The sequence below is a fragment of the Homo sapiens genome, chromosome 17 (genome assembly GCF_000001405.40).
Source record: "Homo sapiens chromosome 17, GRCh38.p14 Primary Assembly".
Lineage (NCBI taxonomy): Eukaryota > Metazoa > Chordata > Mammalia > Primates > Hominidae > Homo > Homo sapiens.
Window position 1 is genome coordinate 43,794,029 of NC_000017.11, and position 18,411 is coordinate 43,812,439.

Genomic DNA, 18,411 nt, shown 5'->3' on the forward strand with positions numbered 1-18,411 from the left:
AAAGTCATTGGTAGCTTGATGGGGATGGCATTGAATCTATAAATTACCTTGGGCAGTATGGCCATTTTCACAATATTGATTCTTCCTATCCATGAGCATGGAATGTTCTTCCATTTGTTTGTGTCCTCTTTTATTTCGTTGAGCAGTGGTTTGTAGTTCTCCTTGAAGAGGTCCTTCACATCCCTTGTAAGTTGGATTCCTAGGTATTTTATTCTCTTTGAAGCAATTGTGAATGGGAGTTCACTCATGATTTGGCTCTTTGTTTGTCTGTTATTGGTGTATAGGAATGCTTGCGATTTTTGCACATTGATTTTGTATCCTGAGACTTTGCTGAAGTTGCTTATCAGCTTAAGGAGATTTTGGGCTGAGATGATGGGGTTTTCTACATATACAATCATGTTATCTGCAAACAGGGACAATTTGACTTCGTCTTTTCCTAATTGAATACCCTCTATTTCTTTCTCTTGCCTGACTGCCCTGGCCAGAACTTCCAACACTACGTTGAATAGGAATAGTGAGAGAGAGCATCCCTGTCTTGTGCCAGTTTTCAAAGGGAATGCTTCCAGTTTTTGCCCATTCAGTATGATACTGGCTGTGGGTTTATCATATATAGCTCTTATTATTTTGAGATACGTCCCATCAATACCTAGTTTATTGAGAGTTTTTAGCATGAAGGGCTGTTGAATTTTGTCGAAGGCCTTTTCTGCATCTATTGAGATAATCATGTGGTTTTTGTCTTTGGTTCTGTTTATATGATGGATTACGTTTATTGATTTGCATAGGTTGAACCAGCCTTGCATCCCAGAGATGAAGCCAACTTGATCATGATAGGTAAGCTTTTTGATGTGCTGCTGGATTTGGTTTGCCGGTATTTTATTGAGGATTTTTGCATCAATGTTCATCAGGGATATTGGTCTAAAATTCTCTTTTTTTGTCGTGTCTCTGTCAGGCTTTGATATCAGGATGTTGGCCTCATAAAATGAATTAGGGAGGATTCTCTCTTTTTCTATTGATTGGAATAGTTTCAGAAGGAACGGTACCAGCTCCTCTTTGTACCTCTGGTAGAATTCGGCTGTGAATCTGTCTGGTCCTGGACTTTTTTTGGTTGGTAGGCTATTAATTATTGCCTCAATTTCAGAACTTGTTATTGGTCTATTCAGGGATTCAACTTCTTCCTGTTTTAGTCTTGGGAGGGTGTATGTGTCCAGGAATTTATCCATTTCTTCTAGGTCTTCTAGTTTATTTGCATAGAGGTGTTTATAGTATTCTCTGATGGTAGTTTGTATTTCTGTGGGATCAGTGGTGATATCCCCTTTATCATTTTTTATTGCGTCTATTTGATTCTTCTCTCTTTTCTTCATTAGTCTTGCTAGCGGTCTATCAATTTTGTTGATCTTTTCAAAAAACCAGCTCCTGGATTCATTGATTTTTTGAAGGGTTTTTTGTGTCTCTATCTCCTTCAATTCTGCTCTGATCTTAGTTATCTCTTGCCTTCTGCTAGCTTTTGAATGTGTTTGCTCTTGCTTCTCTAGTTCTTTTAATTGTGATGTTAGGGTGTCAATTTTAGATCTTTCCTGCTTTCTCTTGTGGGCATTTAGTGCTATAAATTTCCCTCTACACACTGCTTTAAATGTGTCCCAGAGATTCTGGTATGTTGTGTCTTTGTTCTCATTGGTTTCAAAGAACATCTTTATTTCTGCCTTCATTTCGTTATGTACCCAGTAGTCATTCAGGATCAGGTTGTTCAGTTTCCATGTAGTTGAGCAGTTTTGAGAGAGTTTCTTAATCCTGAGTTCTAGTTTGATTGCACTGTGGTCTGAGAGACAGTTTGTTATAATTTCTGTTCTTTTACATTTGCTGAGGAGTGCTTTACTTCCAACTATGTGGTCAATTTTGGAATAGGTGTGATGTGCTGCTGAGAAGAATGTATATTCTGTTGATTTAGGGTGCAGAGTTCTGTAGATGTCTATTAGGTCCGCTTGGTGCAGAGCTGAGTTCAATTCCTGGATATCCTTGTTAACTTTTTTGTCTCATTGATCTGTCTAATGTTGACAGTGGGGGGTTAAAGTCTCCCATTATTATTGTGTGGGAGTCTAAGTCTCTTTGTAGGTCTCTAAGGACTTGCTTTATGAATCTGGGTGCTCCTGTACTGGGAGCATATATATTTAGGATAGTTAGCTCTTCTTGTTGATCACTTTACCATTACGTAATGGCCTTTTTTGTCTCTTTTGATCTTTGTTGGTTTAAAGTCTATTTTATCAGAGACTAGAATTGCAACCCCCGCTTTTTTTTTGTTTTCCATTTGCTTGGTAGATCTTCCTCCATCCCTTTATTTTGAGCCTATGTGTGTCTCTGCACGTGAGATGGGTCTCCTGAATACAGCACACTGATGGGTTTTGACTCTATCCAATTTGCCAGTCTGTGTCTTTTAATTGGAGCATTTAGCCCATTTACTTTTAAGGTTAATATTGTTATGTGTGAATTTGATCCTGTCATCATGATGTTAGCTGGTTATTTTGCTCGTTAGTTGATGCAGTTTCTTCCTAGCATTGATGGTCTTTACAATTTGGCATGTTTTTGCAGTGGCTGGTACCAGTTGTTCCTTTCCAGGTTTAGTGCTTCCTTCAGGAGCTCTTGTAAGGCAGGCCTGGTGATGACAAAATCTCTTAGCATTTGTTTGTCTGTAAAGGATTTTATTTCTCCTTCACTTATGAAGTTTAGTTTGGCTGGATATGAAATTCTGGGTTGAAAATTCTTTCCTTTAAGAATGTTGAATATTGGCTCCCACTCTCTTCTGGCTTGTAGAGTTTCTGCCAAGAGATCCGCTGTTAGTCTGATGGGCTTCCCTTTGTGGGTAACCCAACCTTTCTCTCTGGCTGCCCTTAACATTTTCTCCTTCATTTCAACTTTGGTGAATCTGATAATTATGTGTCTTGGGGTTGCTCTTCTCGAGGAGTATCTTTGTGGCATTCTCTGTATTTCCTGAATTTGAATGTTGGCCTGCCTTGCTCGATTGGGGAAGTTCTCCCGCATAATATCCTGAAGAGTGTTTTCCAACTTGGTTCCATTCTCCCCATCACTTTCGGGTACACCAATCAGACGTAGGTTTGGTCTTTTCACATAGTCCCATATTTCTTGGAGGCTTTGTTCATTTCTTTTTACTCTTTTTTCTCTAAACTTCTTTTCTCGCTTCATTTCCTTCATTTGATCTTCAATCACTGATACCCTTTCTCCCACTTGATCAAATCAGCTACTGAAGCTTGTGCATGCGTCATGTAGTTCTCATGCCATGGTTTTCAGCTCCATCAGGTCATTTAAGGACTTCTCTACACTGTTTATTCTAGTTACCCATTCGTCTAATCTTTTTTCAAGGTTTTTAGCTGCTTTGCGATGGGTTTGAACATCCTCCTTTAGCTCGGAGAAGTCTGTTATTACCGATCATCTGAAGCCTTCTTCTCTCAACTCATCGAAGTCATTCTCTGTCCAGCTTTGTTCCATTGCTGGCGAGGAGCTGCATTCCTTTGGAGGAGAAGAGGCGCTCTGATTTTTAGAATTTTCAGCTTTTCTGCTCTGGTTTCTCCCCATCTTTGTGGTTTTATCTACCTTTGGTCTTTGATGATGGTGACGTACAGGTGGGGTTTTGGTGTGGATGTCCTTTCTGTTTCTTAGTTTTCCTTCTAACAGTCAGGACCCTCAGCTGCAGGTCTGTTGGAGTTTGCTGGAGGTCCACTCCAGACCCTGTTTGCCTGGGTATCACCAGCGGAGGCTGCAGAACAGCAAATATTGCAGAACAGCAAATGATGCCATCTGATCCTTCTTCTGGAAGCTTTGTCTCAGAGGGGCACCCAGCTGTATGAGGTGTCAGTCGGCCCCTACTGGGAGGTGTCTCCCAGTTAGGCTACTCGGGGGTCAGGGACCCACTTGAGGAGGCAGTCTGTCCGTTCTCAGATCTCAAACTCCATGCTGGGAGAAGCACTACTCTCTTCAAAGCTGTCAGACAGGGACGTTTAAGTCTGCAGAAGTTTCTGCTGCCTTTTGTTCAGCTATGCCCTGCCCCTGGAGGTGGAGTCTACAGAGGCAGGCAGGCCTCCTTGAGCTGCAGTGGGCTCCACCCAGTTCCAGCTTCCAGGCTGCTTTGTTTACCTACTCAAGCCTCAGCAATTGTGGACGCCCCTCCCCCAGCCTCGCTGCTGCCTTGCAGTTCTATCTCAGACTGCTGTGCTAGCAGTGAGCGAGGCTCAATGGGCATGGGACCCTCTGAGCCAGGCACGGGATATAAACTCCTGGTGTGCCGTTTGCTAAGGCTGTTGGAAAAGTGCAGTATTAGGGTGGGAGTGTCCCGATTTTCCAGGTACCGTCTGTCACGGCTTCCCTTTGCTAGGAAAGGGAATTCCCTGACCTCTTGCACTTCCAGGGTGAGGTGACGCCCTGCCCTGCTCCATGGGCTGCAGCCACTGTCTGACAAGCCCCAGTGAGATGAACCTGGTAGCTCAGCTGGAAATGCAGAAATCACCCATCTTCTGCATCGCTCATGCTGGCAGCTGCAGACTGGAGCTATTCCTATTTGGCCATCTTGGAACCTACCCCCCCAACTAATTTTTAAATTTTTATTTTATTGTTTTTATTTATTTAAGACACAGTCTTGCTCTGTTGCCCAGGCTGGAGTGCAGTGGCATGATCTTGGTTCACTGCAACCTCTGCCTCCCAGGTTCAAGCAATTCTTGTGCCTCAGCCTCTCGAGTAGCTGGGATTATAGGCGTGTGCCACCATGCCTGGCTAATTTTTGTATTTTTAGTAGAGACAGGGTTTCACCATATTGGCCAGACTGGTCTCAAACTCCTGGCCTCAAGTGATCTGCCTACTTCAGCCTCCCAAAGTGCTGGGATTACAAGCGTGAGCCAATGCTGCTGGCTCTAATTTTATGTTTAATAGAGACAAGGTCTTGCTATGTTGCCCAGGCTGGTCTTGAACTCCTGAGCCCAAGTGATCCTCCTGCCTCGGCCTCCCAAAGTGCTGGGATTACAGGCGTGAGTCACCACACTTGGCTAAGGATCACTTTTTAATACTCTGCTTCATAATACATGTAAAGAGAATTACCATCATTTAATCTGACAATTGTGTAAAAATATTATGTAAGCAGCAGAAAATGCCTGTGGAGTGGTATAAAATGCAGAAAGAACATCATTGGGTGCCCAACCACTGTGTTCCCACACTGGAGGGAAAACCACCTACATGGGGCTTTGAGACTTGATTAGGATGTCCACCATGATGCCTCCTGAGGGGATCTTCAAAAGTAATTTTTAACGTATGTGGGTTTGTTTTGCTTTTGCCTGTGAGCAGACTTCAGATCCCAGCTCTCCTGCATAACAACTTTTTTTTTGAGACAGAGTCTCATTTGTCACCCAGGCTGGAGTGCAGTGGCACGGTCTCGGCTCACTGCAACCTCTGCCTCCCAGGTTTAAGTGATTCTCCTGCCTCAGCCTCCCAAGTAGCTGGGATTACAGGCACCCGCCACCATGCCCAGCTAATTTTTTTTTTTTTTTTTTTTTTTTTTTTAGTAGAGACGGGGTTTCACCATTTTGGCCAGGCTGGTCTCAAACTCCTGACCTCAAGTGATCCACTGCCTCAGCCTCCCAAAGTGCTAGGATTACAGGCATTATCCTGCATAACAACTTTGCATGTGCTGGTCACACTTCAGGGGCAGCTGCCCTCCCTGGCCTGGCTCTCTGTAGATCAGCTCAAGACCAATTTCACTTGATAAGAATCCAATACTCTCTAAGTGTAAAGAAGTCCCCATCTTTTTACTAGAAAGTTCTGAAGAATGTGATCCTGTTACGTGGACCTACCAGTTCATGAGCTAGAGCGTTGCAAAGGTATCCTTGTGTAGAAGGTAAAATGGAAATTTCTAAATGGGTGGCAAACCTTCTCCCTGGTGCTTCACCTTCAACTTGGCCTCCTTTTCCTTTCATGAGTAAAAGAAGTTGAAAATGTACACGTGTATGTAGCCTCTTTTCAGTCTTAGAAGTTATGGTCACACTTCATATTATAAATTCTAGCTGTAAACACATTCATCATTTATAAGTGAATTATATTAGTGAGTAGCCTCGATTATGGGACCACAAAAGAATGAGGCAGTATAGTATAGTGGTTAACGATCATCTCTGGTATTTGGGCGATTTAGGCTCAAATACCATAGCTCTGCATTTTTTAATTTTTAAAATTTTTTGAGGCAGGGTCTCACTCTGTCACCCAGGCTGGAGTGCAGTGGTGTAATCATGGCTCACTGCAGCCTCAACCTCCTCGTTCATCCCACCTCAGCCTCCTGAGTAGCTGGGACTACAAGAACACACCACCATGCCCGGCTAGTTTTTGTATTTTTTGTAGAAATGGGGTTTTGACACATTGCCCAGACTGGTCTCGAACTCCTGAACTCAAGCAATCCACCCACCTTGGCCTCCCAAAGTGCTAGGATTATAGGCATGCACTACAGTGCCTGGCCTGCAATTTTTTTTTTAAATCTGTGCAAGCTTGGGCACATTATTTAAACTGTCTAAGCTTTATTTTTTTTCTCGTTTGTACAATGAGATGATAAGAATCCTACCTTATTGGCTTGGTGTATTTATCAGGGTAATGTATGTAAAGGCCTTAGCATAGCATCCAGCACAGAATAAAGACTGTTGCTGGCTATTAATAATAAAAAAAAATTCTCTGAGCACCTAAGATATATCATGAATCCTGGGTGATAATCATTTTTGCTCAGAGACAACCCATTAGGCCCACACTCTGGGTCTACATACTTTTATTCTTGACAGAAATGGTTTACAGTGACGTAGCCATAGTTTTGACAGGGAGAGTCATCTGGTTTCCCAAGATCTAGCACAATGGGAACCCCTATGATCTCATGGCAGGGACTGGCTAGGACCAAGGCAACTGTCAGTAACAAAAGGGACAATGGATGGAATAGAACAAATCAAACAAAGCATGGGCTCGATGTTAGGAATCTGAGGGTATTTAGAAAGGGGAAAGGCAACCTTACATTCCTCGAGTCCCTGAAGGCACCACTGCAGTACAGGATAGTACAGTAATTCATGTTGATGGTGAAGTGTGCCTCAGCCTTCCAGAGAAAATTTACGTATATTCACTATTTTAAAATAGGCAGAGAACCCGTTTTCTATTACCAGGCAAGCACTTCAAAAAAAAGGTTAAGATCAACGTTTTAGTGCTTGAAGACAGGGGAACTTCAGTTACATGTAAAATCCCCTTGGATAAAACAAGTTAGCTTCCAAAAAAACTACTAAGCGTCACTATGTTTAAAAAGCTTAAACATTCTGCGAATCAGTACTGTATAAATTAACCACTACCACCCACAAAAGACAGTGGCTACTTAACTTTGGTACAAAGAATCAGGGTCAGCTTGCCTGTGATACTTTAATAAATGAAATGTGTTGTTTTCTGATATGCCCCTTTCAAATCATGATCCAAAGAGGTGCAGTGAAAAACAACAGACAAAAACCAACAACAAACAAGACTTCCCACTTATACTCTTCTCGATGATGGAATTTGTGGAGAATTCTCTCCCTCTCTGCGCTTGAGATTCCTTGATGGTAAAATGAGGGAGTCTGGACTAGATGATCTTCAAGGTCCCGTCCAGCTTGGATGTTCTGGGATAAAGTTACCTGACCCAACTAACAGGTACCCAGTGAGTGTCCTTGCTCAGCTTCTCTAAGACCACTTTGAGCTGGCTGTAGGCACCCTGGAGATCCTCCTTCACCAGCACGGCGTCTACCAGGTGCCCGTAATGCCGGTCTATGAAGGCGGCAGAAGCGGCCATCTCTTGCTGCTGCTCATCCTGCAAGGAAAGGGGTGGTAAAAGGAGCAACTGGGTTGTTCTCCTATAACAAACCTATAACCTTTGTCTTGAGCAATGTTCCAACCTTTAACTTTTAAGTGATGAGTGGATGACTAGGTCCCACTGATAACCAACTGTGTACACAAGAACAGAGCATAGGGACAACATCATGTCAAACTTCAAAGAAAGTTAATGGGCAGTAGACACAATCACTGTTCAGTCATTCACTCACAGAATACCTCCTGAGGACCTATGAACTCAAAGCCACGATAGGAAGTGCATTGGGGATGCTGATTCTATAACTGTGTATATATGCTAATATCACACTTCCTGCCTCAGAAGTACTTCCAAAGAAGTAGTAGTATTGTGCCGCATGACATTCAGTACACAGGTTAAATAATTATAAGAAAGAACTATAAATAATAACTATATAAAAACAGAGCAAACATTTCTGCAATCAACTGGTGGAAGAAGGAGAAGAAATCATTCTAATGCCCTCCTGAAGACTCCTAAATTCACAGTGCAGAACTCAATTCACTTCCTCACACCAGAGCCAAACACTAGCACAGCAAAGTGGAGTTATTTAAGAAAGCACTGGACAATTCTAATCAAATTCCCCATTTCCTTAGGGCAGCTGATCTCTTTAATCAGATTGCTTTTCTGACACTTAACATTAAGGTATAGGCAACAACTCCATCTTACACAATGTGGGCACTGTTTGCATCTTCATTCAAAAGAACCTCTAATAAGTATTATTTCAAGTGAGTAGTTGTCTGACAATTAGCCTGGTTTTGGAAAACAGGAAAGTGGCAGGCCCATTCTAAGTAAAATTACAAAATAAAATTTGTCGCTGGCATTCACTCACTGCCCTTTTTAGTTCTCTGTTGCTGTCTCCCCTCTGCTTCTAGGGGCTCAGTGTTTTCATGCTGCCACAGGGAAAGGGTGAGTTCTGTTCTCTCCCAAAGAGACCTACATTCCAAATATTCCCCCCTCTTCTCTGTCACCAGTCAAAACCCAATTCCTACATTAGTGAGAGCATCTGAAATTTCAGGATTCGAGTCCTCAAGATCCAGGAAAAGGGTTTGGCATGCTACTTCAAAGATAGTAGAAATGTAAGAGAAGGCTGAGATAATTTCTTCTCCTTTTCTCCTCCAGGAGGGAAAAAATTCGATTAAATTGGGAGACACTTCTCAATTCTATATTCTATATAGAATATTCTTGCAGGGCTACTTTCATACTCAGAAGCCCTATCCCGTAACTGCCCCCGGATCTTCAACCCCACCTTCCCCACTCCCTGACACACACCCATCCTATAGACCTGTCTGCTGCTTCCAGTTTCCCCTCCTCCAGGCACCCACACGGTTCATCCTGGAAGCATTTGGCTATTTGAGAAATTACAGAAGGAAAATTTTTGCCACAAAGAACCACAATCTACCTAATAAATATCTGCATCTGGAAAGAACTTAAGTAAATCTCTAATGGAGTAAAAACGTGTGACATTTGCTTAGCAGTCATAAATCCCCTGAACTCCTTTCCTGGCCTGTAACGATGGAACTCGCCCACCTGTGTCTTCAGCAAGAGTCACAGTCCCGAAGATCACATAGGAAAGATTCCCCTGTGCTGTCCGTCACCCCCAGGTTGGATCAGCTTTGCCGGGTCAGAAGCCAGAAGCCCCATTAACTTGTGGTCAGCAAGGAAACAGAGGATGTTTTGGGTCCCCTACCAGGAACTCAGGTGCCAGACAATGGACAGATATTTAAAGTTACACAAAACCCATGCCTTTGTGAGGAATTTCTCCAAATGTCATCTGGGGTCTGCCAACATACATCAAAACCACATGAAAGGCTGTGTGTTAAAAATGGAGTGCCTGGGCCCCACTCCAAACCCCCTAGGTCGGAATCTCTGGGAGTAGAACCGGGGACTCTGTGTTGAACAGCCTCACTGTGACCCTGCTGCCTACTCACAGCTGCAGTGTGGTGGAGCATGAACGGGCCAGCTGCATTTCATCATCAGCCCACCTGCTTGGAATGCAGCATTCTGGTGGGCAATAAAGGAGATGGGATAGATGACAAAACCGGCCAGGCTGGAAGGACACTGGGAATAGAATGCAGCTGCTTCTCTTGAAATAACAACCATGGGCCAGGGAGGGTTCTGAATCCTAGAAAGCTGGCACTGCCTGTGGACCTGATGATTTGGCCTTGAGTCCTAGGAAGCTGCCTCTTATTCTCCCAGTGACTTCTTGACTCTTTGAAAAATGAGCCATTTCCCCCTGCTTATTCAATCCTGAAATATTTGCAAAACAAAACAAAGCCAATATAGTAAAACAAATGGGCAGATTGATCCTAAAATTCATATGGAAATGTAAAGGACCCAGAATAGCCAAAACAAGCTTGAAAAACCTGACTTCAAAACTTACTACAAAGCTAGTAATCAAAGTAAGACAGTGTGGTGCTGGCCTAAGAATAGACATGTAGACCAATGGAATGGGACTGAGACTCCAGAAAGAAACCCTTACTTTTCTTGCCAATTGATTCTAGACAAGGGTGTTAAAATAATTAAATGAGAAAATAGTCTTTTCAACCAGTGATGCTGGGGTAACTGGCTATCCACATGCAAAGAATGAAGTTGGACCCCTACTTCAGACAATCCACAGAAAATAACACAAAATAGATGACAGATCCAAATGTAACTGCTACAACTATAAATATCTTAAAAGAAAACAAAGGAGTAAATCTTTATGGCCTTGGATTCGACAATGATTTCTTAGATATGACACCAAAAATATAAATGACAAAAGAAAAAATAGATACATTGGACTTTATCACATTTTAAAATGTTATGCCTCAAAGGATGCTATCAAGAAAGTAAGGACCAGGCGTGGTGCCTCCCAGCACTTTGGGAGGCCGAGGCAGGTGGATCACCCAGGTCAGGAGTTCGAGACCAGCCTGGCCAACGTGGTAAAACCCCATCTCTACTAAAAATACGAAGGAAATTAGCCGAGCATGATGGCATGCGCCTGTAATCCCAGCTACTTGGAGGTTGAGGCAGGAGAATCACTCGAACCTGGGAGCTGGAGGTTGCAGTGAGCCAACACCGCACCATTGCGCTCCAGCCTGGGCAACAAGAACGAAACTCTGTCTCAAAAAAAAAGAAAGTGAAAAGACAACTCAGAATGGGAAAAAATATTTGCAAATCATGCATCTGACAAGGGACTTGTATCCAAATAGATAAAGAATTCTTACAACTCAATAACAAAAAATGGACATTTAAAAATGGACAAAGTATTTGAACAGACATTTCTCCAAGAAAGATATAAAAATGGCCAATAAACACATGAAAAGATGCTCAACTTCACTGATGATTAGAGAAATGCAAATTAAAACCACAATGAGATACCACTTCACACCTACTAGTAGTGCTATGATTAAAAAGACAGACAATAACAAGGGCTGGTGAGGATGTGGAGAAATGGGAACTCTTGAACACTGCTGCTGGGAATGTAAAATGGTACAGCTGCCATGGTAGAGTTAAACATAGAACTACCCTATGACCCAGCAATTCCATACCAAGGTATACACCCAAGAGAAATGAAAACATATGTTCACACAAAAACTTGTATATGAACATTCATAACATGATTCATAATAGCTGAAAAGGTAGAAACAATCTAAATGTCCATTAATCGATAAATGGGTAAACAAAATGTGGTACTCTATACAATGGAATGTTATTCAGCCATAAAAAAAGAATGAAGTATTGATACATGAATGAACTTTAAAAACATTATATTAAGTGAAAAAAGCCAGATACAAAAGGTCTTACATTGCATGAATCCATTTATATGAAATGTTTAGAATAGACAAATTTATAGTGACAGTAGATTAGCAGTTGCCTGTGGCTAGGAAGGGGCTGGAGGAAAACAGATAATGGGAAATTCTAATGGGCTCAAGGTTTCTTTTTGAAGTGATGAAAATACTCTTAAATTGACTGTGGTAGTTGCAACAACTCTGTGAATACATCATTGAATTGTATGCTTTAAATGTGTGAATTGTACAGTATGTAAATTTTATCTCAGTAAAGCTGTTAACTCCCCCTCCAAAAAACACACAGAAAACAAAACAAAATTTAGTCATGAGCCCACTATTCAGGGAGAATTGCCTTTAGCGTTTTAGTGTATTTTGTGTGTAACACAAAATTAGAATCCTGATTTTTTATTTTGATTTATTTTTTCTTGTATTTAGCTATGTCATCAAATATTCCTCCAACACATGGCTTTTATTTATTTATTTAATTAATTTATTTTTTTGAGACAGAGTCTTGCTCTGTCGCCCAGGCTGAAGTACAGTGGTGCAATCTCAGCTCACTGAAAACTCTGCCTCCCAGGTTCAAGTGATTTTCCTGCCTCAGCCTCCCGAGTAGCTGGGATTACAGATGCCTGCCACCACGCCCAGCTAATTTTTGTATTTTTAGTAGAGACGGGGTTTCACCATGTTGGCCAGGCTGATCTCGAACTCCTGACCTCTGATGATCCACCCACCTCAGCCTCCCAAAGTGCTGGGATTACAGGCGTGAGCCACCACTCCCGGCCCCAACATATGGCTTTTAACTGGCTATAATACTTCAATACATCCTGTAAGTGTCACATAATGGAGTATATTGAACTGAGTCCTGACAGTGAACATTATTTAGGTTGTCTCTGATTTTTTTGTTATATGATGGGCATACTGTATGTTTCTTTTTTTTGTTTTTGAGATGGAGTTTTGCTCTTGCTGCCCAGGCTATAGTGCGATGGCGCAATCTCGGCTCATTGCAACCTCTGCCTCCAAGTTCAAGCAATTCTCCTGCCTCAGCCTCCCAAATAGCTGGGATTACAGGCGCGTGCCACCACACCCAGCTAATTTTTTGTATTTAGTAGAGATGGGGTTTCACCATGTTGGTCAGGTTGGTCTTGAACTCCTGACCTCAGGTGATCCACCCGCCTTGGCCCTCCAAAGTGTTGGGATTACAGGTGTGAGCCACTGCACCCAGCCAATATTGTATGTTTCTAAATGATTCTAGACTTAAGTTGATATTCCCCTATTCCCCTTAGAGTTTCTTGTGTCTTTTTTTTTTTAGATGGAGTCTTGCTCTGTCACCCAGGCTAGAGTGCAGTGGCGTGATTTTGGCTCACTGCAGGCTCTGCCTCCTGGGTTCAAGTGTTTCTCCTGTCTCAGCCTCCCGAGTAGCTGGGATTACAGGCATGCACCACCACACCTGGCTAATTTTTGTATTTTTAGTATGAGACGGGGTTTCACCATGTTGGCCTGGCTGGTCTCGAATTCCTGACGTCAGGTGATCTGCCTGCCTCAGCCTCCCAAAGTGCTGGGATTATAGGCGTGAGCCACCATGCCAGCCTCCCCCTTAGAGTTTCTAAAGGAGAAAATTTTTCTTTTTTCTACATTTTTTTTTTTTTGAGACAGAGTCTCACTGTGTCATGCAGGCTGGAATGCAGTGGCATGGTCATGGCTCACTGCAGCCTTGACCTATTAGGCTCAAGTGATCCTCCCACTCCCACCTCAGTCTCCCGAGTAGCTAGGACTATAGGTTTGTGCCACCACACCTGGCTAATTTTTGTAATTTTTTTGTAGAGATGGGGTTTCACCAAGTTGCCCAGGCTGGTCTTGAATTCCTGGGCTCAAGCAATCTGCCCGCCTCAGCCTCCCAAAGTGCTGAGACACAGGTGTGAGCCACCGTACCTGGCCAAGGAGAGAATTTCTAATGTTCCTTGTATGTATGCCATTCTAAATAATTTACTGAGACCAGATACGGTGGCTCACACCTGTAATCCCAACACTTTGGGAAGCTGAGGCAGGAGGATCATTTGAGGCCAGGAGTTTGAGACCGGCCTGGCCAACACAGAGACACCCTGTCTCTATAAAAAAATTTTTTTTAATTGGCTGGGCATTGATGGTACATGCCTGTAGTCTCAGCTACCTAGGAAGCTGAGGAAGGAAGACTGCTTGAGCCCAGGAGTTCAAGGCTGCAGTGAGCCATGATTGTACCACTGCACTCCAGTCTGGGCAATACAGCAAGATCCTGTCCCCAAAAAAATAAAAGGCTGGGCACAGTGGCTTACACCTGTAATCCCAGCACTTTGGGAGGCCAAGGTGGGAGAATCACTTGAGCCCAGGAGTTCAAGACCAGCCTGGACAACATAGTGAGTCCCTGTCTTTAAAAAAATAATAATAAAATAAAAAGTGTATCAACGTGGACAGTTAAAACTGAGAATTAGTATGAACTAGGATTGCATCAAAATCTTGACTCAGCGGGAGCTTCCTGACCAAGGGGAAGGATCCGAGAAGGCCTCCTTCAGATGAAACCAGCTATATAGGACAGCAAGTAAAGTCTATTCTGGGACTGAGTTGCTTCTGACTGCCCCCACCACCCACAACAACTTCCAACTCATTCTGCTAACTGACCCTGTTAAGAACCAAAAAAGATGAGTCACCAAGCCCACACCTCCTGGAAGAACTCTGTCAAATATTTAGGTTTTGGGTGAGGGTCTCGCCATCCTGACATAGACTGGGCTGAACAAAGAATCTATGACAGTGAAACAGAAGTTCATTTAGGACACATCAGACGATCTCATCCACTAGTTTTAGAAATCCCTTCATTCACTGATGATTCAAACTGGTTTGATAGCAGTGATAATGACCTTGTTAGTTGGGGTTTCAATTTAAAATACTTGGATTTGGCCTAGGAGTATAGTTTGATGAGTACAGTCTGTCACACTCAGATGAGGTCCCTGACAGGTGTCACATTTTGCGGGAGGGCGCTTATGTGAGGGAGTGGAGGGGCGTGAGCCCAGGCAAAGCCACCTGCCTGGTTTGGGAGGCACTTCCAGCTGTTCACCTTGAGCCTTCTGGCCATGTAATCATCTTCTCTTAAGTTTTTCAATAGGCAAAATGGAAAGACAATCACATGTAGAAGGTGTGTCCCGCATCCCTCTTCAGCTGCAAGCACCCTTATGCAGCTAGAAGCGTTCCTGTAACAGCCTCCCTTAGGCCTTCAGAAAAGAAACAATCAACTTTAAACTTACAAATGGGGCTGCTGTGTCCTCACAAGCTGGGGACATAGGTGGCGTTTTTCTTTTTTCCTGAATTGCAGGCTTTACAAATATAATATAGGGTTTAAATTCTGAGGTCCTCAGTTGTTTCAGTGCCTGAGAAAGAAAGTTCAGGAATATTATATACTTTTGAAGTGTTTTGTTGTGAAATAGACTTTTGAAAGCTCAATAATCGTGTGCTTCAATACCATAACCTCAACAGCAAAGGTCCTGGTTACATGGGTCCCATGACAATGGACTTCAACTGGGCAGACCAACTGCTCCTTTTCTCATCCTTCACTTTGACGTTGAACTCAGCGGGGCCCTGAAGTCACACTCACTGCCAACAGAAGGTTCCTAAGCCTCAGCTCAGAGACAGTTGCTGTCTCTCTTAGCTCTGACTCCTCCGGCTATAATTAACCTTCTCAGGCTCCTCTCCACCTTCCATTTCTGATGGGTGAGGAAGCAGGAGTCAGTGTGTATCTATTTAGTCAAATGTCATCAATCGGACTACATTATTACAAACTTTGTGCTATTACATCTCCTCTTGGTATTCAAAGAAGAAAAGGTTTGCAAAGCAAATGAGATTACTGAACAGATCATTTAAAACTGTAGACTGTAGAAACTGCACTCTTGGGCCAGGTGCGGTGGCTCACACCTGTAATCCCAGCACTTTGGGAGGCCGAGCCGGGTGGATCACGAGGTCAGGAGATCAAGACCATCCTGGCTAACATGGTGAAACCCCGTCTCTACTAAAAATACAAAAAATTAGCCAGGCGTGGTGGCGGGCACCTGTAGTCCCAGCTACTCGGGAGGCTGAGGCAAGAGAATGGCGTGAACCCGGGAGGCGGAGCTTGCGGTGAACCAAGATCGCACCACTGCACTCCAGCCTGGGTGACAGAGCAAGAATCTGTCTCAAAAAAAAAGAAAAAGAAATTGTACTCTTGATTAATGCATTTTATCTAGAAGTAAGGGCTCCACTTGGAAACACTAGTATTAAACTGCTATATGCATTATCTGCACCCTTGATCAATAAAGTGATCAATAAAATCACTTTTCAAAGAAAATTTTGAAACTCAGACTTTTAATTTTGATCACTAACTCCCTGTAAGTCCAAATGAGTGTTTTCCTTTATAGGCATAACGTGCTTTTTGGAATATATTTCAAGCAAACTTCTTTAAAATAAAGCCTACAGTTTATAGCATAAAATCAGAGATCTGTTTCTATAGAGGGGAAAAAAAATCCCCAGATTGAGTTCAAAGCTTGGAAGTTTTTCTAAAAGACAAGGTTAAAAAGATGGTTAAGCCCCTGCTGAGTCCACAGCATGCTGGGTGTGCAGGAGTGGAAATGTTTTTGAAGCACTTCCCAGGGCCGTGTCTCCCTCCCTCTTTTTCCCCTTTAAACTGCTCTCCTCACTGCCTCCCTGAGTGGTTCTCTAAGCCACTGACTCCACCTGCCCTGGTTGGGGAGGGGGAGGCCTGGCACCGAGAGCTCAGCCCCAGTTTCACCTGGGTACTGACATCTAATTCTCTGGCACATTGCAATGGCCAGTCAGCGCCACCAACTATTGCATGATCTGTTCCACGCAGGAGTTACTAGCCTGGGTCTGTGGGCCACCAGAGTGTCCACAAGCTCCCTACAATTAATGCAGCATTTGTGGATAGAGGGGCATGTTTTGGGGTACAAGGCTTTCATTTGATTCTCAAAGGAAGACCCAAAGAAATTGAACAGCCAGTGTTCTAGACTAAAAATTCCTTAGACTGAGGTTAAGTGTTGTGTAAAATGTACAATCCCCTAGTTATAAATTCCGTTAACCAGAAATGGCCAGCAGGCCCAGCAACTCACTTCTGGCTCCACATCCACCAAACAAACTTTGTTTTTGGCCATAACAGCCTGAATGGCCTCCAGGCTGGTTCCATACAGATTTTCCTTATATTCACCATGTTCCAGGAACCTAAAACACCACCAAAGGGGAAAAGGCCTTTAGTTCCTCAGCTTTCCTAAATTAGCAAAGCAAAGGGGACCTCCCAACATGACTTCTCTCCCGCTTCCCCCATCCTTTCCGGGAGTCCTCCCAGGAGCTCTAGTGGAATACAGATACAAAAACACACAACTGCCTGGAGGGCCAACTGGCCCATCAAGCAACGTACTTGTTGTGATGTAAGTCGGCCTCAAATGCTTGCTTAGACACAAAGTGATATTCCACTCCTTCCTTCTCATGGCTCTTTCGGGGCCTGGTGGTATCTTTTAAAGAAAGAAGGAAAGCTGGGCAAAGAGATGTCACATCACAGCACGCAGGGACAGCAGCAGGCTTAGGCACTCATTTGGGAGTTCACTGCTGCTGTGTCTAAACCAGGCACTTCCACCTCATTGCATGTCCCTGTATCAGGCACTGTGCCTTTCCAGGCAGGCGTATCACTGATTCACACAACAACTCTTTGATGTAGGCAAAAGGAGGCTTTTCCTTTTGCAGCTGAGAAAACTGAGGCACGGAGAGGTTCAGCACTGTGCACAGTGACCCACAACCAGTAGAGAGCACAGCCAGAATCGGTCTCTCTGCCAAATGCCCAGCTTATACCCTTAACCACTCTGCTAACTGACTCCCTGATGCTGTGTTTTTTTTTTGTTTGTTTTGTTTTGTTTTTTGTTTTGAGACGGAGTTTTGCTCGTTCCCCAGGCTACAGCGCAATGGCATGATTTCGGCTCACTGCAACCTCTGCCTTCTCGGTTCAAGCGATTCTCCTGCCTCAGCCTCCCGAGTAGCTGGAATTACAGGCATGTACCACCACACCCGGCTAATTTTGTATTTTTAGTAGAGATGGGGTTTCTCCATGTTGGTCAGGCTGGTCTCGAACTCCCGACCTCAGGTGATCCACCCGCCTCAGCCTCCCAAAGTGCTGGGATTACAGACATGAGCCACCGCGCCCAGCATATGCTGTGGCTTTTAAAGAATCACTTAAGGGACCCCTAGTCCTAACTTTTAATTCTTCATTGTTTTTTATTTTTTGAGAGCAAAGGAGCCACACATACACTTGACCCTGATGTATGCTTTTAATTCTTTAGTCAATTAGTTCTCATCTCCAGAAAAAGGAGACAGGAAGACAGACCGTCCCTATATAGATCGGATGTGTTTCAGCAAGGCTGGCTCTCAAACAAAAATGTTGAAACACATGGTGTTTTCTCATTGATTTCCATAACAGAATTGGGATGCACACTTCTGAGGAAAATCAGGTCTTCTGCAGAACAAGGGCACACACAAAGCCACACACACAGTATTTTCCAAAAGATAAAATGGGATCTTGAGGCACTGTGTCTTCTGGCCCATGGGAACCACCCAGGGTATGCCCTGTGTTCTTTCTGTGGCATCTTAGTCCAACCTCCGGTAGAGGTGCTAGGGTCACTTTTCCAACCATGTCATCCCCCTGCTTAAAAACTTGTATTTATCTATGGGTTACATTCTAAACACCCTAGCTGAGTA

The 18,411-nt window shown here is 43.5% G+C and overlaps 1 protein-coding gene across 10 annotated transcripts in view; it reads right to left on the bottom strand.

Moving 5' to 3' along the window:
• Positions 1-6,782: 6,782 nt before the first annotated feature.
• Positions 6,783-18,411, bottom strand: part of MPP3 (MAGUK p55 scaffold protein 3) — a 32,336-nt gene continuing 20,707 nt past the window's right edge. For all 10 annotated transcript variants that reach the window (NR_148345.2, NR_003562.4, NR_148342.2 and 7 more), the window contains 4 exons: positions 17,084-17,177; positions 16,779-16,887; positions 14,928-15,050; positions 6,783-7,849 (listed from right to left, as the gene is read on the bottom strand). Coding sequence is in view for 5 of the 10 variants with exons in the window: in NM_001932.6 (NP_001923.2) it covers positions 7,673-7,849; positions 14,928-15,050; positions 16,779-16,887; positions 17,084-17,177 (503 nt within the window). In the remaining 5 variants the exon portion in view is untranslated. The remainder of the gene's footprint in view (positions 7,850-14,927; positions 15,051-16,778; positions 16,888-17,083; positions 17,178-18,411) is intronic.